The sequence below is a fragment of the Homo sapiens genome, chromosome 17 (genome assembly GCF_000001405.40).
Source record: "Homo sapiens chromosome 17, GRCh38.p14 Primary Assembly".
NCBI classification, from domain to species: domain Eukaryota; kingdom Metazoa; phylum Chordata; class Mammalia; order Primates; family Hominidae; genus Homo; species Homo sapiens.
Window position 1 is genome coordinate 49,143,484 of NC_000017.11, and position 23,470 is coordinate 49,166,953.

At 47.5% G+C, this 23,470-nt stretch overlaps 1 protein-coding gene and 1 pseudogene across 5 annotated transcripts in view, besides 2 other annotated features; one reads left to right on the top strand and one right to left on the bottom strand.

The window, feature by feature from the left end:
• Positions 1 to 23,470, top strand: part of B4GALNT2 (beta-1,4-N-acetyl-galactosaminyltransferase 2 (SID blood group)) — a 56,497-nt gene that overhangs the window by 23,140 nt on the left and 9,887 nt on the right. For 4 of the 5 annotated variants that reach the window (XM_017024173.2, NM_001159388.2, NM_153446.3 and 1 more), the window contains exons 4-9: positions 9,317 to 9,423; positions 13,083 to 13,120; positions 15,554 to 15,734; positions 17,072 to 17,158; positions 20,605 to 20,792; positions 22,631 to 22,771. In XM_017024173.2, the coding sequence (XP_016879662.1) occupies positions 9,317 to 9,423; positions 13,083 to 13,120; positions 15,554 to 15,734; positions 17,072 to 17,158; positions 20,605 to 20,792; positions 22,631 to 22,771 (742 nt within the window). Of the gene's footprint in view, positions 1 to 9,316; positions 9,424 to 13,082; positions 13,121 to 15,553; positions 15,735 to 17,071; positions 17,159 to 20,604; positions 20,793 to 22,630; positions 22,772 to 23,470 lie in introns of those variants that run through there. The other variant, XM_011524314.3, reaches the window with a different exon arrangement.
• On the bottom strand, positions 4,833 to 5,291 carry RPS10P25 (ribosomal protein S10 pseudogene 25; annotated as a pseudogene).
• Positions 5,553 to 6,543: an enhancer, noted in NCBI's record as "H3K27ac-H3K4me1 hESC enhancer chr17:47226398-47227388 (GRCh37/hg19 assembly coordinates)". NCBI's record gives its function as "activates a minimal SCP1, AML or CMV promoter by ChIP-STARR-seq in primed H9 embryonic stem cells {active_cell/tissue: H9 hESC(primed)}" and the evidence as "EXISTENCE:reporter gene assay evidence [ECO:0000049][PMID:30033119]".
• Positions 6,544 to 7,534: an enhancer, noted in NCBI's record as "NANOG-H3K27ac-H3K4me1 hESC enhancer chr17:47227389-47228379 (GRCh37/hg19 assembly coordinates)". NCBI's record gives its function as "activates a minimal SCP1, AML or CMV promoter by ChIP-STARR-seq in naive H9 embryonic stem cells {active_cell/tissue: H9 hESC(naive)}" and the evidence as "EXISTENCE:reporter gene assay evidence [ECO:0000049][PMID:30033119]".

Sequence of the window (23,470 nt, forward strand, 5' to 3'; positions counted from 1 at the left end):
CCCATATTGTTGTTGCTTCTGCAATGAACTGTCCCCAGGTTACTGCCTTAGTGCTCAATTAACTGAGCCTAACTCATGAATCAAAAGGAAGGGAAAGGGTGCATCAGACCCCTCCAGGTTTGACTTTTGAAGCTAGCCACTGTCTTAGTCCGTTTTCTGTTACTATAGCAGAATACTGCAGACTGGGTAATTTATAAAGAAAAGGTAAGTTTATTTAGCTTACGATTCTGGAGGCTGAGAAGTCTAACAGCACGGTGCTGGCATCTGGTGAAGGCTTCTTGCTACATCATAACATGGTGGAGGGTACCACATATTGACAGGGCAAGAGCACATGCATCAGCTGAGGTCTCTCTTCCTCTTCTTATAAAACTACCAGTCCCTTGGTTGGGCATGGTGGCTCACGCCTGTAATTTCAGCACTTTGGGAGGCCAAGACAGGTGAACCACCTGAGGTCAGGAGTTCGAGGCCAGCCTGGGCAACATGGCGAAACTCCATCTCTACTAAAAATATAAAAATTAGCCAGGCTGTGGTGGTGAGTGCCTGTAGTCCCAGCTACTCAGGAGGCTGAGGCAGGAGACTCACTTGAACCTGGGAGGTGGAGGTTGCAGTGAGCTGAGATCAGACCGCTGCACTCACTCCAGTCTGGGTGACAGAGTGAGACTCCATCTCAAAACAACAACAACAATAACAAAAACCACCAGTCCCATCATGGGGTCCCTACCTGATGACCTTATCCTAATTACTTCCTAAAGGCCCCTACCTCCAAACAACATATGAATTTGGGAATTAAGTTTCTAACACATGAAATTTGGGGAACACATTCAAACCATAGTAGCCACTACCCTCCAAATTACATGCAAGTGGAAGGCTCCCCAGAAGACAGATGGAGGCACCGTCTCCATCAGGAGGTGTTGAAAGCTGGACAGCCAGTGGAATACACAGGTGATGCTGGCATGGATTTCAACCCTGGTGCACCTAGCTATGTGAGGAGCAACTGGTCTTGGTAGTTAACAGTGCTGCCGCGGGAAGCTGACTGGCTGCATTCAGGTCCTGCATCCTCTATCTGCCAGCTAGGTGATCTTGGGCAAGCTGCTTAATCTCTGTAAAATGAGGATGCTAATAACACCTAGCTCCAGTTGGGCATGGTGGCTCACGCCTGTAATACCAGCACTTTGGGAGGCCAAGACAGGCAGATCACCTGAGGTCAGGAGTTTGAGACCAGCCTAGCCAACATGGTGAAACCCCATGTATTAGTCAGGGTTTTCTTAGAGGGACAGAACTAACAGGGGGGAGAGAGAGAGAAAGCGAGAGAGAGAATTTATTAAGTATTAACTTACATGATCACAAGGTCCCACAACAGGCTGTCTGCAAGCTGAGGAGCAAAGAGAGCCAGTCCAAGTTCCAAAACTGAAGAAGCTGGAGTCCAATGTTCGAGGGCAGGAAGCACCCAGCACTGGAGAAAGATGTAGGCTGGGAGGCTAGGCTCATCTCATTGCTTCACGTTTTTCTGTCTGCTTTATATTCGATGGCGTCTGATTAGATGGTGCCCACCCAATTAAGGGTGGGTCTGCCTTCCCCAGCCCACTGACTCAAATATCAGTCTCCTTTGGCAACACCCTCACAGACACACCCTGGATCAATATTGCATCCTTCAATCCAATCGAATTGACATTTAGTATTAACCAGCACAAGTCCACCCCTTGTCAACTTGAACCCATACACATCTCCTGAGATCATACATAATCTTCAAATAAAGACAATAATAAGGTTATAATTATGCCTAACATAATACAACTATCTTTTGTACGACCAGAAACGCACCAATCCCCAACCCAAATACTATTACATAAAGTTAACAATACTTAGATGCTGATATGAAGTCAATAAATCTTACGTCACATGATAAAGGAAAAGGAAATAAAATGAAGATATTTTCTTAGTACAAGTGTGTATATGCACAAACATGTTTTTAACAAAAGAAAGAGGAAATACTCATGACAATTACAGTCCTCATTTCTGCAGCTGGTCACATGGTCGTAGCTGGTATTGATTATCTTCTTTTACTACCCATTCTGTATTCCCCTTGCCTTCAGCAAGCACCTCAGCAGGTAATGTTTTTTTTCCTGGTGGAGTGACCCAAACCTTCATTCCTGAAGGGTCTGGGTCATTTGTAGCCCTGCCTGGATTGGGCTATTGTAGTTTCCCATTGACCTTAATCACAGGGCATGGTAATACTAAGAGACACCCTAATGGATCTCCTGTATTCCATGTGCACTCTTCCTTACCTCCATTGTGGAGTAGTAGACTGATTTTATCTTGATAGCCCGGGTCAATCACCCCAGCTAACACAGTAACTTCCTTCTTAGCCTGTTGACATAAAGGTAGGAGGAGTCCAAAGTGTCCAGGTGGCAATATTAACTTCCACTTTAATGGAATTGTTGTTGTGTACACTGGTGGCAGCGTTCCTCCCTCTGGAACTAAGACCTCTAGGCCAGCAGAACATAATGTTGCGGGAACAGGAAGCAAAAATTTTGCTAGTGGATCACTAGGGGTGATGGTGAGTAGTGCTACTTCCCCTCTTTGATTCCTGGACCCGTGAATCCTGGCCATGGGAGAATCAGTACCATATATTGGACACTGATTCAGAGCATACATGGCCTTCTGGAGAACTTTGCCTCAGCCCTGCAAAGTATTGTCACCTAGTTGGCATTATAATTGTGACTTCAAAAGGCCATTCCACCGTTCTATCAATCCAGCTGCTTCAGGATGATGGGGAACATGGTAAGACCAGTGAATTCCATGAGCATGAATCCATTGCCGCACTTCTTCTTCTTCTTTTTTTTCAAGATGGAGTTTTGTTCTTGTTGCCCAGGCTGGAGCGCAATGGCACGATCTCAGCTAACTGCAACCTCCACCTCCCAGGCTCAAGCAATTCTTCTGGCTTAGCCACCCGAGTAGTTGGGATTAAAGGTGCACGCCACCACTCCCTGTTAATTTTTGTATTTTTTATGGAGATGGGGTTTCCCCATGTTGCCGAGGCTGGTTTTGAACTCCTAGCCTCAAGTGATCCACCCACCTTGGCCTCCCAAAGTGCTGGGATTACAGGCGTGAGCCACCATGCCTGGCCCAACACTGTCTTTTCTTAATTTCCATTGCTGACTACTCCATAGGGATCCTCAAATTCTAGCTAAGCCATGTGTCTAAACATTCCTGTCTGATTGAGGGCTCCTTAAGGTGGGAATGTAGTTTTCCCATCAGTCCAAGGCCTCTATGAGAGCTAAACTGTCCTCCATCAGACTGGAAGGTTCATGATTACAAGGGCTATGTCTCCTCCCTTAGACTGGTACTTCTAAGATTGGGCTCTCTCTCCTTCCTTAGATTAGGGATTCCCTGAAGGTTGGCACTGCTCTTGCAGGATGTCTTCAGCTAATGAAATTACATATGATAAATAACCCAGAATCATTTGCTCCCTGGCCAATGTCACATAAGCTATATAAATCTCTGGAGTATATACAGGAGATGTTTCTTAATTTACATTCTTCGTTACATGTTGGATGAGGTAATCTGGCAAAATTGCATTTAGAGACCACATCTGTTATCCTCCGGAGAATGCATGACTGATGTGGAAGGAATGACCCGGGGATCCATATAGGATGACTAATTAAGAGGATGTTTGTGCCTCTTGTCTGTATCCTTGAAATTACAAATAGAGCTTGATACTGGATGAGATCTCTGACTCAGTTGAGGCTGATTGGTCAATCTGATCCTGTGTGTTAGTGCTACATTATACTTCCATTAAAAAGCAGCATGTGTAATGCTCCTCTAAGAAAAAGTTCATTTTTTTCCTCTTCTTTTCTTGTTTTCTTTTTCTTTATTCTTTTCTTTTCTTTCTTTCTTTTTTTTTTTTTTGAGACAAGGTCTGGCTCTGCTGCCCAGGCTGGAGTGCAGTGGTGCAATCTCTACCCACTGCAACCTCCACTTTCTGGGCTCAAGGGATCCTCCCACCTCAGCCTCCCAAATAGCTGGGACTACAGGTGCATGCTACCATGCCTGGCTAATTTTTGTGTTTTTTTGTAGATATGGGGTTTTGCCATGTTGCCCAGGCTTGTCTCAAACTCCTGAGCTCAAGCAATCCAGCTGTCTCAGCCTCCCAAAGTGCTGGGAATACAGGCGTGAGCCACCATGCCTGGCCAGAAAAAGTCCATTTTAACCCACTCCCCTGACCACTACCACTGCTATTCTCGTCCCTTTCTTAAATGATAGGTTCCCTTGTAAACCTAGCTAAGGAGTCTGCCATTATGAATTTGGTATGTATTATTCCACACTATTTTTAAATACTGTTATATACATGTATGTTATATATATATGTGTGTGTGTGTGTGTATATATATCCATATAAACATATACTGTTGGTTTTTTGTGTATTTTAGTGTACTTGGTACCATAAAAACAAATCACTCTGAAATTTGTTTTTTTATTCAATTATATATATATATATATATTTCAGATTATAAGTTTATTCAATGCAAAATAATCCTCTGGGTGGGTGTGGTGGCTCATGCCAGTAATCCTAGCACTTTGGGAGGCTGAGGCAGGTGGATCACCTGAGGTCAGAAGCCCAGCCTGGCCAACATGGTGAAACCCTGTCTCTACTAAAAATACAAAAATTAGTCGAGCGTGATGGTGGGCGCCTGTAATCCCAGCTACCCAGGAGGCTGAGGCAGGACAATCACTTGAACCTGGGAGGTGGCAGTGGCAGTGAGCTAAGATCGTGCCGCTGCACTCCAGCCTGGGCGACAGAGTGAGATCCTGTCTCGAAAAAAAAATAAAAACAAAACAAAAGTCCTCTCCAATTTTACTGAGGTGGCTGACCACATCCACAACCAAATCTGCCTCTTACTGGAATTTGGTTGTTGACACAGCCTCAGCCTCGGCATTCTTGTTGGCAGCAGGCTGTGGGCTTCCCCACTTGTGGGTCTTGCAGGTGGCTCACCCTCCAGACCTTCAGGCAGAGACCTGCCAGTCTCTGGACAGCTGTGGCATAAGGTGGCAAGCACAATCTCTGGGGGCAGATGGAGGTCATCATGGAGATACTGGATACCCTTGTTGGTAAGGTACGCGTAGAAATGTCTCCAGGCAAACCGTTCCTGCACAAAGCCTCCGGACTTGAGAGACTGCACAACCTTCATGACATGAAGGTCGGGCACCTTCTTGTCTGCCAGCTCCAGGTGCTTAGGCATGTGGACATCCTTCTTGGCCACCGTGACTCCCTCCTTTAAAAGGAGTTCATAGGGCTGGGTGCGGTAGCTCACACCTGTAATCCCGGCACTTTGGGAGGCCGAGGCAGGCGGATCACGAGGTCAAGAGATCAAGACCATCCTGGCCAACATGGAGAAACCCCGTCTCTATTAAAAATACAAAAATTAGCTGGGCGTGGTGGCATGTGCCTGTAGTCCCAGCTACTTGGGAGGCTGAGGCAGGAGAATCGTCTGAACCTGGGCGGTGGAGGTTGCAATAAGCCGAGATCGTGCCACTGAATTCCAGTCTGGCGACAGAGCGAGACCTTGTCTCAAAAAAAAAAAAAAAGGAGTTGATAAATGCATTCCCGTTCTTCTTAGGCATCAACATCTCGGTGGCTGCAGGGTCTGGGGCCAGAACTGGAAAGGAGTATGAAATGTTTTTAAGAGCTATGTGTATATCTAGTTCATCCCTCTGAATTGCAATATAGCTATGAATATGAATATGCTGCATTTTACTAAGCCACTTCCCTATTGAAAGGTATTTAGATTGTTGAAAAACCTTCATGTTTACATTTACATTATTTACAATAATATTACATTATATTTACATTATTTCCTTTTTCATTAAGACATGTATAAGGGCCAGGCGCGGTGGCTCACACCTGTAATCCCAACACTTTGGGAGGCTGAGGTGGGCGGATCACTTGAGGCCAGGAGTTCGATACCAGCCTGGCCAACATGGTGAAACCCCATCTCTACAAAAAAATACAAAAATTAGCTGGACATGGTGGTGTATGCCTGTAATCCCAGCTAGTCAGGAGGCTGAGGCAGGAAAATCGCTTGAACCCGGGAGGTGGAGTTTGCAGTGAGCCGAGATCACACCACTGCATCTTGCCTGGGTGACAGAGTGAGTGAGACTTCGTCTCAGAAAAAAGAAAAATACACGTATAAGGATGTTCATTTCAAACAATGCTGAAATGAACATTCTTGTGCTTGTCTTATTGCTTACACATGCAAGCATTTCTCCTTTCACCTAGCATCTTACTTGCTAGATCCCAGGGTGTGCCTTTTTTATTTTTGATAGATATTGCCAAATTTCCCTCAAGAGGGCTTGTGTGAACTCACACTTTCATGAAGAGTGGGTAAGTGTTGCACCTTACATACACCTAACTAACGTTTGCTATCATCACATTTTCAAACTTTAATGAAAAAGGTATTCCATGTTTTTTTTAATTCACATTTCCCTGATTGAAGCTGAGTATGTTCCATATGTTCATTGCCATTTGTATTTCCTCTTCCGTTAATTACCTGTTTATGTTCTTTACCATTTAAAAATTTTGGAGGTCGGGGGGGGTCAGCCCCCCACCTGGCCAGCCGCCCCGTCCAGGAGGTGAGGGGCGCCTCTGCCCGGCCGCCCCTACTGGGAAGTGAGGAGCCCCTCTGTCCGGCCAGCCGCCCCGTCCGGGAGGGAGGTGGGGGGGTCAGCCCCCCGCCCGGCCAGCCGCCCCGTCCGGGAGGGAGGTGGGGGGGTCAGCCCCCCGCCCGGCCAGCCGCCCCGTCTGGGAGGGAGGTGGGGGGGGTCAGCCCCCCCCGCCTGGCCAGCAGCCCCGTCCGGGAGGTGAGGGGCGCCTCTGCCTGGCCACCCCTACTGGGAAGTGAGGAGCCCCTCTGCCTGGCCACCACCCCGTCTGGGAGGTGTACCCAACAGCTCATTGAGAACGGGCCATGATGACAATGGCGGTTTTGTGGAATAGAAAGCGGGGAAGGGTGGGGAAAAGATTGAGAAATCGGATGGTTGCCGTGTCTGTGTAGAAAGAGGTAGACGTGGGAGACTTTTCATTTTGTTCTGTACTAAGAAAAATTCTTCTGCCTTGGGATCCTGTTGATCTGTGACCTTACCCCCAACCCTGTGCTCTCTGAAACATGTGCTGTGTCCACTCAGGGTTAAATGGATTAAGGGCGGTGCAAGATGTGCTTTGTTAAACAGATGCTTGACGGCAGCATGCTCGTTAAGAGTCATCACCACTCCCTAATCTCAAGTACCCAGGGACACAAACACTGCGGAAGGCCGCAGGGTCCTCTGCCTAGGAAAACCAGAGACCTTTGTTCACTTGTTTATCCGCTGACCTTCCCTCCACTATTGTCCTGTGAACCTGCCAAATCCCCCTCTGCGAGAAACACCCAAGAATGATCAATTAAAAAAATAATAATAAAAAATAAAAATTTTGCCTTTTTCATATTACCGTAAGTATTCACTATGATGATCTAATCTTTTTTTTCAAGGTAATTAAATGATCTCCTGCTTAAACTGGGTCCCGAAGGCTAACATTTCAACCATTGTACCGTAGTTCCTCAAAAAGCTAATCTTAGGCCGGGCGCGGTGGCTCACGCCTGTAATCCCAGCACTTTGGGAGGCCGAGGCGGGCGGATCACGAGGTCAGGAGATCGAGACCATCCCGGCTAAAACGGTGAAACCCCGTCTCTACTAAAAATACAAAAAATTAGCCGGGCGTAGTGGCGGGCGCCTGTAGTCCCAGCTACTTGGGAGGCTGAGGCAGGAGAATGGCGTGAACCCGGGAGGCGGAGCTTGCAGTGAGCCGAGATCCCGCCACTGCACTCCAGCCTGGGCGACAGAGCGAGACTCCGTCTCAAAAAAAAAAAAAAAAAAAAAAAAAAAAAAAAAAAAAAAGCTAATCTTGCTGGATGGTGCTATGTGCTTGCTTTTGACTAAAGATTGTTATTGGCCGGGTGTGGTGGCTAACATTTGTAATCCCAGCACTTTGGGAGGCCAAGGCATGCGGATCATAAGATCAAGAGATCAAGACCATCCTGGCCAACATGGTGAAACCCCGTCTCTACTAAAAATACAAAAATTAGCCGGGCATGGTGGTGTGTGCTTGTAGTCCCAGCTACTAAGGAGGCTGAGGCAGGAGAATCACTTGAACCCAGGAGGCAGAGGTTGCAGTGAGCTGAGATCGCACCACTGAACTCCAGCCTGGCAACCTAGCGAGACTCTGTCACAAAAAAAAAAAAAAAATCGTTATCAACAACCAAAAAAACCATAAAAATAGTTACTCTGTTTCCTCTAAAAATATTGTGACAACAATTACTCCCATATACACTTTCTTGTGATTTAGTTTATTTATTATTTCAGCGGTAGGAGAAGTTCCACCTCCCTTCAGGAATTGGTCTACTTCTTCCTTTGGATATTAAGGACCATGTGATGATTGTCAATCGCTTTTATCCTGGTTCCCACGAAGTTCAGATGTGACTTTGGTGTTTAGCTGCTGCAGCTGGGTGGGCCCCTACCGTCTGATAATTTCCTTCTTCTATGCTGGTCATGGTTTTTTTTAAAAAAAATATGCTTTGTTAGCCAGGCATGGTGGCTCTCTCCTATAGTCCTGGCTTCTCTGACAGCTGAGGCAGGAGGATTGCTTGAGCCCAGCGGTTGGAGACCAGCCTGGGCAACATAGTGAGACCCTATCTCTACAAAAAAATTTTAAAAATTAGCTGGGCTTGGTGGCATGTACCTGTAGTCCCAGCTATGAAAAGGCTGAGATGGGAGGACTGCCTGAGCCAGGGAGGTCAAGACTGCTGCGAGCCGTGATTGTGCCACTGTACTCCAGCCAGGGTGACAAAGTGAAACCCTGTCTCAAAAACAAAAATGCAGCCAGGTGCGGTGGCTCACGCCTGTAATCCCAGCACTTTGGGAGGCCAAGGCAGGTGGATCACTTGAGGTCAGGAGTTCAAGACCAGCCTAGCTAACATGGTGAAACCCTGTCTCTACTAAAAATACAACAAAATTAGCCGGGCGTGGAGGCGCACTCCTATAATCCCAGCTACTAGGTAGGCTGAGGCAGGAGAATCGCTTGAGCCCGGGAGGCGGAGCTTGCAGTGAGCCGAGATCGCACTATTGCACTCCAGCCTGGGTGACGAGAATGGAGGGAGACAGGGACAACCCAATTTTGATTTCTCCATATTGTCAGGGCAAGGCTCTGTGCACAGGCACCACTTTGAGAACGAACCAGGGACCAGCATCAGGGCAGCTGCTGACGTTTCTGTTCTCCTTCCTGCAGAGAAGGGCTGCCCCGCCCACTGCCCCTGCTGGTCCAGCCCAACCTCCCCTTTGGGTACCCAGTCCACGGAGTGGAGGTGATGCCCCTGCACACGGTTCCCATCCCAGGTAAGTACATCCACATACCAAGAGACCCCAGACAACATTCTCACTCTTCTAAGGCAAAAGGAGGGAGAGGTCGGGTGCAGTGGCTCATGCCTGTAATTCCAGCACTTTGGGAGTCCAAAGCAGGAGTTCAAGACTGCAGTGAGCTATCATCTTGCCAATACACTCCAGCCTGGGTGACAGAGTGAGACCCCGCTGTCTCTTAAAAAAACAACAACATAAAAGGGGCCGGGTGCTGTGCTCACGCCTGCCTATAATCCCAGCACTTTGGGAGGCTGAGGTGGGTGGACTGCTTGAGCTCAGGAGTTTGAGACCAGCCTGGGCAATATGGCAAAACCCTGTCTCTACAAAAAATAGAAAAATTAGCTGGATGTGGCGGTGGGCAACTGTAGTCCCAACTACTTGTGGGGTTGAAGCAGAAGGGTTGCTTGAACCTGGGAGGCCGAGGCTGCAGTGAGCAGAGATTGTGCCACTGCACTTCAGCCTGGGTGACAAAGTGAGATCCTGTCTCAAAAATAGATAAAAAATAAATAAATAAAAGTATGGAGCAGACATTCATTGGTACCTGCTGTGTACTCAGCACAAGGCAAGAAGCTTGATGTGATTTTTTTTTTTTTTATTGCGACGGAGTCTTGCTCCATCTCTCAGGCTAGAGTGCAGTAGCATGATCTCGGGTCACTGCAACCTCCACCTCCCGGGTTCAAATGATCCTCCTGCCTCAGCCTCCCAAGTAGCTGAGATGACAGGCATCTGCCACCATGCCTGGCTAATTTTTTGTATTTTTAGTAGAGACGGGTTTTCACCATGTTGGCCAGGCTAGTCTCGAATTCCTGACCTCAAGTGATCTCCTCACCTCGGCCTCCCAAAGTGCTGGGACTACAGGCATGAGCCACCGCGCCTGGCTTGATGTGATTTCATTTCATGTTAGCCTTATTGTATCCACAACTGGGAATCTCCTTTAGTAGCCATGACCTCCTGGGGCTCCAAGATAACACAGGAGAGGACAGAAATCTGTGTGCCTCAAAGAATCTTAGGACATAATTGGCTTTTCAATGTCCTCCATCATCATGGGAACAGGCAAAACATAAGCCACTCTGTAAAAAGTGCTTTTTTTTTTTTGGGGACGGAGTCTTGCTGTCACCCAGGTTAGAGTGCAATGGCATGATCTCGGCTCACTGCAACCTCCTCCTCCTGGGTTCAAGCCATTCTCCTGCCTCAGCCTCCCAAGTAGTTGGGATTACAAGTGCCCACCACACCTGGCTAATTTTTGTATTTTTAGTAGAGATGGGGTTTCACCATGTTGGCCAAACTGGTCTCGAACTCCTGACCTCAGGTGATCCACCTGCGTTGGCCTCCCAAAGTGCTAGGATTACAGGCATGAGCCACTGAGCCTGGCCGGGAGTGCATTGTGAAAAGAATATTTATGTTGGTTAAAACTGCCCTCCATGATGGATTTTTACACACCCCTCTAGTTCAGCATCACATTCCTCATCAGAATAAAGTTGAATATTATCAGAGGGACCAGAAGGATGAGCCTGCAGGCACAGATGTCCCCTCCCAGTGCAGAGATGTTGGATTCTGTGGGTCTGTCCAGTGAAGTCTTCTTCTGCTTGTGGGCTCATGGCTTCTGGAGGCAAACAGCCCCCCGAAACCTGCAAGCCCCAGAAAAGACCTCCAAGTAAGGTCTCGGTGTGGTGACACCTGGGGATCTGACATATCTCATGGACCCAGCCGAGCTCTCTCCAGGTCCAGCACTGAGGAGCATGACAGATACCTGAATTTCACAAACCACATCTCAAACAGGTGAGATGAGAATGACTGCCTGAGACAGAGGGGGATGCAGGACATCAACAGATGGCATGTCCCACACAGAAGGAAGGGCAAGGTCCCAGACAGGGGACAAAGGGGACAGGGAAGCAGAGATGAGAGTTTAGTAAGTTATCAAAGGCCACATAGAGAGGATGTACTTGAATTCAAATTTGAATTAGTCCTACTATGAGAACAGAGATAGATTCTAAAGTAAATGCATTTGGGGTCAAGCACTAGTGTTCTTGAATAGCCATCTTAAAAACTGTTTTTCATTTTGGATGATTCATTTCTTATTGTGATAAAATATATATAATGGGCTGGGTGCAGTGGCTCTTGCCTGTAATCCCACCACTTTGGGGGCTGAGGCGGATGGATCACTTGAGGTCAGGAGTTTGAAACCAGCCTGGCCAACATAGTGAAACCTTGTCTCTACTAAAAATACAAAAATTAGCCAGGCATGGTGGTACATGCCTGTGGTCCCAGTACTCGTGAGGAGAATTGCTTGATCCTGGGAGGCGGAGTTTGCAGTGAGCTGAGATCACACCACTGCACTCCAGCCTGGATGACAGAGTGAGATTCAGTCTCAAAAAAAAAAAAAAAAAAAAAAAGGACTGGTGCAGTGGCTCACACCTGTAATCCCAGCACTTTGGGAGGCTGAGGCTGTTGGATCATTTGAGGTCAGGAGTTTGAAACCAGCCTGACCAACATGGTGAAACCCCATCTCCACTAAAAATCGAAAATTTGTCGAATGTGGTGGCTCACACCTGTAGTCCCAGCTACTCGGGAGGCTGAGGCAGGAGAATCACTTGAACTTGGGAGGTAGAGGTTACAGAGAGTTGAGATTGCGCCACTGCACTCCAGCCTGAGCGACAGAGTGAGACCCCATCTCAAAAAAAAATGTATATATATAAAATATAGAAACATATATATTATATTAATGTTATATAAAAACATATATATTATTATTTATAATATATAATATTTAAACATAAAATCAACAACTTTTTTTTGTTTTTGTTTTTGTTTTTTGAGACGCAGTCTTGCTCTGTCGCCCAGGCTGGAGTGCAGTGTCGAGATCTCGGCTCACTGCAAGCTCCGCCTCCCGGGTTCACGCCATTCTCCCGCTCAGCCTCCTGAGTAGCCGGGACTACAGGCACCCGCCACCATGCCCGGCCAATTTTTTTTTGTGTGTTTTTAGTAGAGACGAGGTTTCACCGTGTTAGCCAGGATGATCTCGATCTCCTGACCTCGTGATCCGCCCGCCTCGGCCTCCCAAAGCACTGAGATTACAGGCTTGAGCCACCGCGCCCAGCCAAAATTAACTATTTTAACCATTTTAAAGTGTATACTTCAGTGACATGAAGTATATTCATGTTGTTGTGCAACCATCAGTCACCACCAGAACTTTTCCATCATTCCCAACTGAAACTCTGTACCCATCCAACTGAATTCCCCACTGTCCCTCTCCCTGGCCCCTGGCAACCACCGTTCTGCTTTCTGTCTCTATGGGTTTGGCTACTCCAGGTGCCTTATACAAGATGATTCATTATTCATCCATTGCTTCCTCCCCTTCAGTGACAGAGATTCCCTGAAGGAACTGAATTAATTCACAGCCTCCAAAACTGAGGACGGGCATCAGAGGTTTTAGAACCGTTGGGGTTTGAGAAAGACCACGAAACACCACTTAACAGAGCCCTGGGGAGAGGCGCACGTGTCAGCAAACACTCTGGGCGGGAGGTGACACTTGAAGGAGCTCTCAAGGATGTGCAGGAGTCCATGAGGTTGGCGAGAGCAGCGGGGAGCTGCGATGTCTTTCATGAGCAGTTTTCTTTCCTTTTCCCTGTGTCCTCCAGGCCTCCAGTTTGAAGGACCCGATGCCCCCGTCTATGAGGTGAGTCCTTCTCCCAGCCCCTCTTTGCACTTGGTGTCCTGTCCTCATTCCCTCAACTGTGGCTGCTCTCAGCCTTTGACGGAGCCCCTGTCCAGATTCAAGGTCAGACATGAGCCCAAGGAGGGAGGGGATGGAAGGGTGTGTAGAAAACTTAACTTCTAGCCTTGGGAGTGGCTGGAGTTCCAGAGAGGACTTCCCAGACCACACTGAAGAATGGGACCCACTGGCTGCTGCTGCTTCTGGTGCAAGAGGAAGCGGCCACTACAGCCATGGGCTCTGGCACTGCGTGGCCTCTGTCAGGGTTAGGGCTGGCAGGACAGACGGTGCTTGTGCCCTGCCTTCCTTTCCCCACTTTATGCAGCTCCACATCAAGATCTTATGGTGCTATATCTGATCAGTGGGATGCAAATTGTGCCCAGAACCCTAACCAAGAGGAATCTGGGAAGTGTGGTTTTAGTTTTCCCACCTTTACATGTTGGTCAGAGGTTGGAATGGGTGATGAGTGAGCAGATCGGCAAGGCCTCCACCACCTGTCACCATGGAGTTCTTGTTTCTCTATGTTGTCTTCTTTTTTTGAGACAGGGTCTCACTCTGTCACCCAGTCTGGAGTGCAGTGCCGCAATCATGGCTCACTGCAGGCTTGACCTCCTGGGCTCAAGCAATCCTCCCGCATCAGCCTGTGAGTAGCTGGGACTGCAGGCACGCACCAACAAACCTGGTTAATTTTTTTTTTTTGAGATGGAGTCTCACTCTGTCACCTAGCCTGGAGTGCAGTGGTGCAATCTCTGCTCACTGCAACCTCCACCTCCCGAGTTCAATCGAGTCTCCTGCCTCAGCCTCCCAAGTAGCTGGGACTACAGGCATGCACCACTACACCCAGCTAATTTTTTGTATTTTTAGTAGAGACAGGGTTTCACCATGTTGGCCAGGCTGGTCTCGAACTCCTGACCTTAAGTGATCCATCTTGACCTCCCAAAGTGCTGGGATTACAGGCATGAGCCACCGTGTCTGGCCCCTGGTTACTTATTTTTTATTTTTAGTAGAGTTGTGGTCTTGCCATGTTGCCCAGGCTGGTTTTGAACTCCTGCGCTCAAATGATCCTCCCACCTCGGTCTCCCAAAGCAGTGGGATTACAGGCGTGAGCCATCGTGCCTGGCTATATTGTCTTCTTCGTAGTCCTGCTCTGGACCTGAATTCCCTGCTGCGCGTAGTTCCATGCTTATCATCTCTCTTCCACGCTGGAATACAAGCTTCACGAAGGAATTTACTGCTGTTTTCCCAGTGCCTGTAACTCGGTTTTTAGAAAGTGTCTGTTGACTGACTAGTATCAACAGTGTCGGGAGTGACACTATTCAATTTCCTTTAATAGATAACTGCGATGACTCACAGAAGGCAAGAGAAGAGAGTGGCTGTGGGGGTAGCAATGGGGTGGAGAGGAGTAAGCCAGTTCTAGCTGCATTTTGGAGGCAGAGCTGAGAGGACTTGCCGCCAGATGGGCTGTCTGTGTGCAGAAAAGGGTAGAGCAAGGAGGACTTCCCTTGGGGCCTGGAACAACTGAGTGGATGGAGGTGCCATCCACAAGGCAGAGGGAATGGAGGTGAGGGTGGGAGGAAACAGGTTTTTAGAGGAAAATCAGTAGTTCCATTTTGAAGACAACAAGTTTGAGTTGCTTGTGAAAGGTCCCAGCAGTTGGATCTCAGAAAGGTGAGCTGAGACTTACTACAATGTGACCCCATCTGCAAAAGAACGGGTTTTAAACCATGGAAACAGATGAAATCTAGCAGGAAGGTGTGGAGTAAGAAGGGAAAAGAGTCTAGGATTGGAGTTTGAGACCAGCCTGGCAAACACGGCGAAAGCCCGTCTCTACTAAACATACAAAAACAAATTAGCCACGTGTGGTGGCTCATGCCTGTAATCCCAGCTACTCAGGAGGCTGAGGCAGGATAATTGCTTTAACCTGGGAGGTGGAGGTTGCAGTGAGCTGAGATCATGCACTGCACTCCAGCCTGGGTGACAGAGCAAGACTCCATCTCAAAAAAAAAAAAAAAAAAAAAGGAATCCAGATCAAGGTCTGAAAAACTCCATTTGGAGATATATAGAGAGAGGAAGAGGAGTTGTCAAAGAGAGGTCAAAAAAGGCTGTGGGTGGAATAAGAAGCCAAGAAGAACGGAACCCTGCGAGCTGAGAGATGGGAATGTTTCCAGAAATGGGTCCTTTCATCCTTGGGGCCCTAGGACTTGGGGGATTGGGGGCGGGGGCGCTAGCACAGTGACTCCCTGCAGAGCCAGCCCTACACTGTCAAGGGCACCCTGGTGCTTCTCCCCTCACCCTTATGTGCTCTGCCCTGGCTCCTGGCCTGGGTATGTATGTATCTTTCCAGGGAGATATTTTCCAATCCCTGCATTGAGCATCATTCTACCTCACCCACCCTAGGTCACCCTGACAGCTTCTCTGGGGACACTGAACACCCTTGCTGATGTCCCAGACAGTGTGGTGCAGGGCAGAGGCCAGAAGCAGCTGATCATTTCTACCAGTGACCGGAAGCTGTTGAAGTTCATTCTTCAGCACGTGACATACACCAGCACGGGGTACCAGCACCAGAAGGTAGACATAGGTGAGAGCCTGTCCTTGGAGTGCAAAATGCTTAGGGATCCAGAAGATACCTCTGGGCCCTTTCAAAGTCTTCCTCCTTCAGGAAGCCTTCCTGTTTTTTGTGTTTTGTGTGTGTTTGTTTGTTTTGTTTTGTTTTGTTTTTTGAGACGGAGTCTCACTCTGTCACCCAGGCTGGAGTGCAGTTCTGTGATCTCTGCTCACTGCAACCTCCGCCTCCCAGGTTCAAGTTATTCTCCTGCCTCAACCTCCCAAGTAGCTGGGATTACAGGCACCTGCCACCATGCCCGGCTAATTTTTGTATTTTGAATAGAGACAGGGTTTCACCATCTTGGCCAGGCTGGTCTTGAACTCCTGACCTCGTGATCCACCTGCCTCAGCCTCCCAAAGTGCTGGGATTACAGGCGTGAGCTACAGCGTCTGGCCTGCCTGCCTGCTTTTAAGATTCCTTCCCTCTTTCCTCTTTCTAATCCCAGACACATAATTTCATAATTACTGTACCCAGTACTATCCCCACATTGCCATTGACCCCATAGAGCCACTCGAGGAGAGAACAAATCATGCTGTGCGCTTTGCACCTGGTGAGAACCATTCAGTTCTTTTCCCAGTCCTCTGCAGCTCTCAAAGCTGAAGATTTCCACTGCAGTAGAGGAGGGAGCCAGCCTGTGCCTCAGCATCTTGTCTTGGGCACTAATAGGAAAGAACTGGGAGAACTCCCCATTCCAAGGGCTTTGTCTCTCCCCTCCTTCCCTCCCACCAAGAAATTCTAGGGAGAACAATCCCTGCCACTCTCAGGGCAGCCTGAGTTTCCTTCTGGATGAGTTAAAAGCACCCTTTTCTCTTTTGACCGGATACACAGGATGCATTCCCAGGACATCAACAGAAAAAAATGTAACACGGTTACAGATGATATTCATGACCACTAGCTAAAGAGATAGTTCTCCCTACCTTCAGATTTTCAAACATTCCTCTTCATAAGATTACCCTGTGAGATAAAATAGGGTGGGTATTTTTATCCTGGTTTTGCAGACAGATAAAAAAATCAGATAGTAAATGGTAAAGTCAAACTTAGCCCAGACCCTCTGGTTTCAAGCCCACTCCACCCTAACACATTCTCACAGGGGAAGAAATGTGAACTTAGGAGTCATTCAGCACGTTGCCCCAGGGACACAGCAAGGCAGAAGCCTGAATGCCAGAGACTCTATGGGGTCCTTGATCTCATCCCAACCAGGACTCTCCCCACCAAACCTGTACTCGCCTGTCATGGTGGCTTCCCGGGGTGGCATGGAGTTTAATCCAGACATGATACTCCCTGTGCCATTATCTTATTTCTCCCTCCAGTGAGTCTGGAGTCCAGGTCCTCAGTGGCCAAGTTTCCAGTGACCATCCGCCATCCTGTCATACCCAAGCTATACGACCCTGGACCAGGTAAGGCCCTTGTCCTTGGGGCTCCGTGGTGGCAACCCTGTGAAGCTATTGGTGAAATTCAGAAGGGATCACCTCTGAGACGGAGGAGAATTGATCAAAATGACAGCTCTGATATGCTCCCTGACAAGCTTCGTTTGGAGGAAAAAAACTCTAAGACACAATCCCCTAAAATTGCTTAATTATATTTAACTTATTATGTGGTTGTGTGCTAATTTTGGGGAAAAAAGCTAAAAAATTATAACATTTTAGTAAGTAATAATAATAAAAAGAATGGTATTGAATCAAATTGGAAATCCTGATATAAACCCAATACATGTTGGAATTTCACTGTGTGATAAAGACATCTTGTCTGGCCGGGCGCAGTGACTCATGCCTGTAATCTCAACACTTTGGGAGGCCTAGGTGGGCAGATCACCTGAGGTCAGGAGTTCAAGACTAGTCTAGCCAATATGGTGAAACCCCATCTCTACTAAAAATACACAAATTAGCTGGGCGTGGTGGCAGGCACCTGTAATCCCTGCTACTCTGGAGGCTGAGGCAGGAGAATCACTTGAACCCAGGAGGTGGAGGTTTCAGTGAGCCAAGATTGCGCCACTGCACTCCAGCCTGGGCAACAGAGCAAGACTCTGTCTTGAAAAAAAAAAAAAGAGAGAGACAGCTTGTCAAATTAAAGGAGGACAAATGAACAAATTAAAAATTGGCTTTTCAAAAAATCACGTGAGATAATGGTGTAGCTATATGAAAGATAAAAAGTTGGATCCAAGTGTGATGGCCTGCACCTGTAATCCAGCTCACACCTCTAATCTCAGCTACTCAGGAGGCGGAGATGGGAGGATCGCTTGAGCCTGGGAGGTCAAAGCTGCAGTGAGCCAGGATCACCACTATACTCCAGCCTGTGCAACAGAGCAAGACCCTGTCTCAAAAAAAATTAACAATGAAAAATAACTTTTAAATTAGAAGTAAAACTTGAATATATGCCACAGTTCATACCAAGATAAATTCAAATTGATCAGATATCTAAATACATTTTAAAGTACTAGAAAAAAAACCTGTAGTTAATTTTTAATTAGCTGGGTATGGTGGCATGCACCTGTAATCCCAGCTACTGGGGAGGCTGAGGCAGGAGTATCATTTGAACCCTGAAGGCGGAGGTTGCAGTGAGCCGAGATCCTGCCACTGCACTCCAGCCTGAGCAACAGGGCAAGACTCCGTCTCAAAAACAAAAAAACAAAAAAACTTGTAGTTTCAAAAAACATTCTTAGGGTATAAGGCATGACACAAAACTCAGAGACCATAAAGAAAAAATTAAAAATATAAAATATATAAAATTTTATATATTAAAATTAGCAAATTTTTTTCTTTTTGAGACGGAGTCTTGCTCTGTTGCCCAGGCTGGAGTGCAGTGGCACGATCTCCGCTCACTGCAAGCTCCACCTCCCGGGCTCACACCATTCTCCTGCGTCAGCCTCCCAAGTAGCTGGGACTACAGGCGCCCGCCACCATGCCCGGCTAATCAAATTAGCAAATTTTAATAAGTAAAGTCAAATAACAAAGGACAAATTGGGAAAAAAATCTTCGATTCACATTAAAGACAAAGGTCTAATTTTACTTAAGAGCATCTATGACTCAATAAGAAAAGAACACCCAATAATGGAAAAATGCACAGTTCAGAAAAAATTAAATTCAGTAACACTTTTAGCCATTAAAATATATGCCCACTCTCACACTGAGAAAAGTGCATATGAAAACTACTTTCACATCAAAAGGTTTTGGACAGGGCTGGAAAAACAGCATATCAACTGTGGTTAGGAATGTAAATTGGCACCTCTCGGGAGGCAATTTGGCAGTTCCTATCAACATTTTAAATGTGTATATCCTTTAGGCCAGCAATTCCACTTCTAGAAATTATCCTACAGATATTTATATCTGTGTGAAATGACATTTGTTCGATTGCAGCGCTGTTTGCAATGACAAAAAACAGAATGGGCTGGGCTCAGTGGCTCACACCTGTAATCCCAGCACTTTGGGAGGCCGAGGTGAGCAGATCACTTGAGGTCAGGAGTTCAAGATCAGCCTGGCCAACATGGTGAAAACCCATCTCTACTAAAAATCCAAAAAATCCAAAATCAGGCATGGTGGTGCACGTCTGTAGTCCCTGCTACTTGGGAGGCTGAGGCAGGAGAATCGCTTGAACCTGGGAGGTGGAGGTTGCAGTGAGCCGAGATCATGCCATTGCACTCCAGTCTGGGTGACAGAGCCAGAAACTGTCTCAAAAAAAAAAAAAAAAAAAAAAAGGGCAAGAGGGTGGCACAGGGGGAGGGTTCTGGAACAACTTCTGTCCAAACGACTTCTGATTTTTGTCATTCTGGGAAAGTGGCTCTGTGCACTCACCCACAAACAGGTAGGGTTGTGGCTTCCAGCATGCATTAACTCCAGCTGGCCCCATGCCATGCAGACATGGCAACTGCACAGTCAGATGCCAGTTCTCCGTTTAGTGGCTGAATCCCAAACACATCTGCAGCTCCAGTTGTGGCATCACGGGGTCTTTTCCTTAGGAAAGCTGTCCCCTCTCCAGTCTCTTATACGTCACATGCCTTAAGATGGACAATTCTGTCCAGGCCTTGTGATCTCCAAGTATTTGGAGACATTTCTAACCATGTCTTCCTGAGGATAGAGATCAGGTAAGCTTTTCTCTAGGAGTTGCAGATGATGGTAGAAGCAAGTCTCAAGATTTGTAGATATTTTCTCCTCTTCCTGGGCTTCATGACCCTCCATATTGAACCCTTAGATGGGCAAAGCTCTGTGCATTTCAACTCCTAATATTAAGATGAAGGCCAGAAGCAGTGGCTCATGCCCATAATCCCAGCACTTTAGGAGGCCGAGGCAGGTGGATCACCTGAGGTCAGGAGTTTGAGACCAGCCTGGCCAACATAGTGAAACCCCATCTCTACTAAAAATACAAAAATTAGCTGGGTGTGATGGTGCATGCCTATAATCCCAGCTACTTGGGAGGCTGAGGCAGGAGAATCACTTGAACCTGGGAGGCGGAGGTTGCAGTGAGCCGACATTGCACCATTGCACTCCAGCCTGGGCAACAGAGGCAAAACTCCGTATCAAAAAAAAAAAAAAAAAAAAAAGGAAGAAAGCAGGACATAAGCAAAGTGCTAACAGGCAGGAGGTGTAAAATGAAGCATTCAGACAGACAGTTGGGAAATGACATAGTGGAGCCAACAGAACCAGGAAATGCAACAAATTGGGTATGTTGTAAATGTCTTTATTTTCTAATGCAACTAACAAACTCTTATTAAGCACCTCCTGGGTACAAGAGGCATGAGACCCACAGACACTGACAGGTTATGGCAGAAAGAAGCCATCAGATCAAAGCAGGAAAAGACAGTGAAGCTTCCTACAGGACAGAGCTCTGACACCCACTGTTTTCTGCCCAGAGAGGAAGCTCAGAAACCTGGTTACCATTGCTACCAAGACTTTCCTCCGCCCCCACAAGCTCATGATCATGCTCCGGAGTATTCGAGAGTATTACCCAGACTTGACCGTAATAGTGGCTGATGACAGCCAGAAGCCCCTGGAAATTAAAGACAATCACGTGGAGTATTACACTATGCCCTTTGGGAAGGTATGTCCCTCTCAGATTGGGTGGCACCTGCATTCCAGGACAAGAGGGCCCCAGGGTCAGGTTCTACCCTGGATGGGGCCGCTTCCTCAAGGGTCTTCCCAAGAAAGCAGAGTCCAGGAGTGGGAGTGGGTGAGGGCTGTCCTCTGAGTCCCATTGCTGATTCACAGAGAAATTGGTCACCCTCACTTCTCTGCATTCATGAGGTGGTTATTCCACCTTTCCTCATTTTTTTTTTTTTTTTTTTGAGATGGAGTCTTGCTCTGTCGCTCAGGCTGGAGTGCCGTGGCATGATCTCAGCTCACTGCAACCTCCACCTCCTGGGTTCAAGTGATTCTCCTGCCTTAGCCTCCTGAGTAGGTGGGATTACCAGCATGCACCACCACACCCGGCTATTTTTTGTATTTTTAGTAGAGGCAGGGTTCACCGTGTTGGGCAGGTTGGTCTCAAACTCTTGTCCTTAGGTGATCCGCCTATCTTGGCCTCCCAAAGTTTACAGATGTGAGCCATCACACCCAGCCTCTCATTTCTATTTTTTTATTTTTCATTTTTTTTGAGATGGAGTCTTGCTCTGTCACCTAGGCTGGAGTGCAGTGGTGCAATCACAGTGATCATGGCAGCCTCAACCTTAAAGGCTCAAGTGATTCTCTCACCTCTGCCTCCCTAGTAGCTGGGACTACAGGCATGCACCATAATGCCAGGCTAATTTTTTAAATTTTTTTGTAGAGATGGGGTCTCACTGTGTTGGCCAGGTTGGTCTCGAACTCCTGGGCTCAAGAGATCCTTTCACCTAGGCTTCCCAAAGTGCTGGGATTACAGGCGTGAGCCACTGTACACTGCTCCCATCTTTCCTCATTTCCGATGTGGAAATCGATTGGGGTCCTTATAAGCGACTTGAGGTCTCTGACATCTCAAAGATTCCTGACATGTAGAGAAATCTGTCATCTCCATGATTCTACCAGAGCTAGGGTCTTGGTCTCTCTCTCCTCTTTCCCTCTCTCCCTCTTTCTCCTTGACTCTCTCTCCCTCCCCACTCTCTCTTTCTCTCTCCTTCTCCCTCTCTTCTTCCCACCTTCCCTCTCTCCCCTACCTTTCTTCCTCTCCACTCTCTCTTTCTCTCTTCTTCCCACCCTCCCTCTCTCCCCCACCTCTCTCTCTCCTCCCACCTCTCTCTCACTCCCCACTCTCTCTTTCTCTCCCTCTCTTCTTCCCACCCTCCCTCTTCCCCCCACTGTCTCTCTCACTCCCCACTCTCTCCTTCTCTCTCCCTCTCTTCTTCCCACCCTCCTTCTCTCCCCTCACCTTTCTCTCTCCCTCCCCACTCTCTCTTTCTCTCTCCCTCTCTTCTTCCCACCCTTCCTCTCTCTTTCCCCCCACCTCTCTCTCTCCTTGCTACTCTTTCCCTCTCTCATTTTCTTCCTCCCTCTCTCTCCCCCTTCCTTCCTCCAAGGACAAAGGAGGAAACGAATATTATACATACCAGATGTCCTTCAAACTTGACATCTTACAGGAGACAAAAGGAGAGCCATAGAAACTGTCAGGTGAAAAGGGACTTCAGCCAATTTATATAGGCCACAGAGCCAAGGAATGACTTTCTAGCCTTTCTTTGTCTCAGTCTTTGATCCACACAGTCACTGTCCCTTCCAGACTTTCTCTGAGACATGGACTTCCTTCAACCCTGTGGTTCACAGCCTTGGCTGCACACTGGATTCGCTCGCACCAATTCTAATGGAATTTGTCTGGAGTGCATGCAGCCTGGCTGTTGGGAATTTAGAAAGCTCCCCAGGTGATTCTAATATGTAATATGGGCAACCACTCCTTTAACCTCATTTCATCTACAGGGTTGGTTTGCTGGTAGGAACCTGGCCATATCTCAGGTCACCACCAAATACGTTCTCTGGGTGGACGATGATTTTCTCTTCAACGAGGAGACCAAGATTGAGGTGCTGGTGGATGTCCTGGAGAAAACAGAACTGGACGTGGTAAGGGACAGTTGCCAGTTTCACCCAGCCACAATCTGTAGAGATGGAGAAGAGGGGAGAAGAGAGCGGGAAGAAATATATAAGAGAAGAGGAGGGGGAGGGAGGGGAGGGAGGGGAGGGAGAGGGGCTGGTGCAGGAGGTGAATAGGCCAGTGCAACCCAGGTGGAGAGTGCTGCACCAGCTCACGCCTCCATACTGACTTTTCTTTGAGTAAATTACACCTCCTCCCTCATTTGCAATTGTTTTCTTTTAAAATTGTGTGTTTATGCAGCATTTCTAACTCCCTCCGTTGACTAGTATGAGATTAAAGACAGGAGCATTCTGGTTCTATCACACAACATTAAAAACAGTATAAATGGTACAAAGCTTTAAAAGCACACACGGCACTAATGACATTCTAAAAAAGAATAAGAAGAGAATAATAAAAACAGCCTAGGTGTGATGGCTTACACCTGTAGTCCCAGCACTTTGGGAGGCTGAAGCAGGAGGATCGCTTGAGCCCAGGAGTTCAAGACCAGCCTGGGCAACATGGCAAAACCTCATCTGTATAAAGAAATACAAAAAATTAGCCAGGGATGGTGGTGTGCATCTGTAGTCCAAGCTACTCAGGAGGCTGAGGTGGGAGGATCACCTGAGCCCAGGAGGTCAAGGATGCAGTGAGCTGAGATTATGTCACTGCACTCCAGCCTGGACGACAGA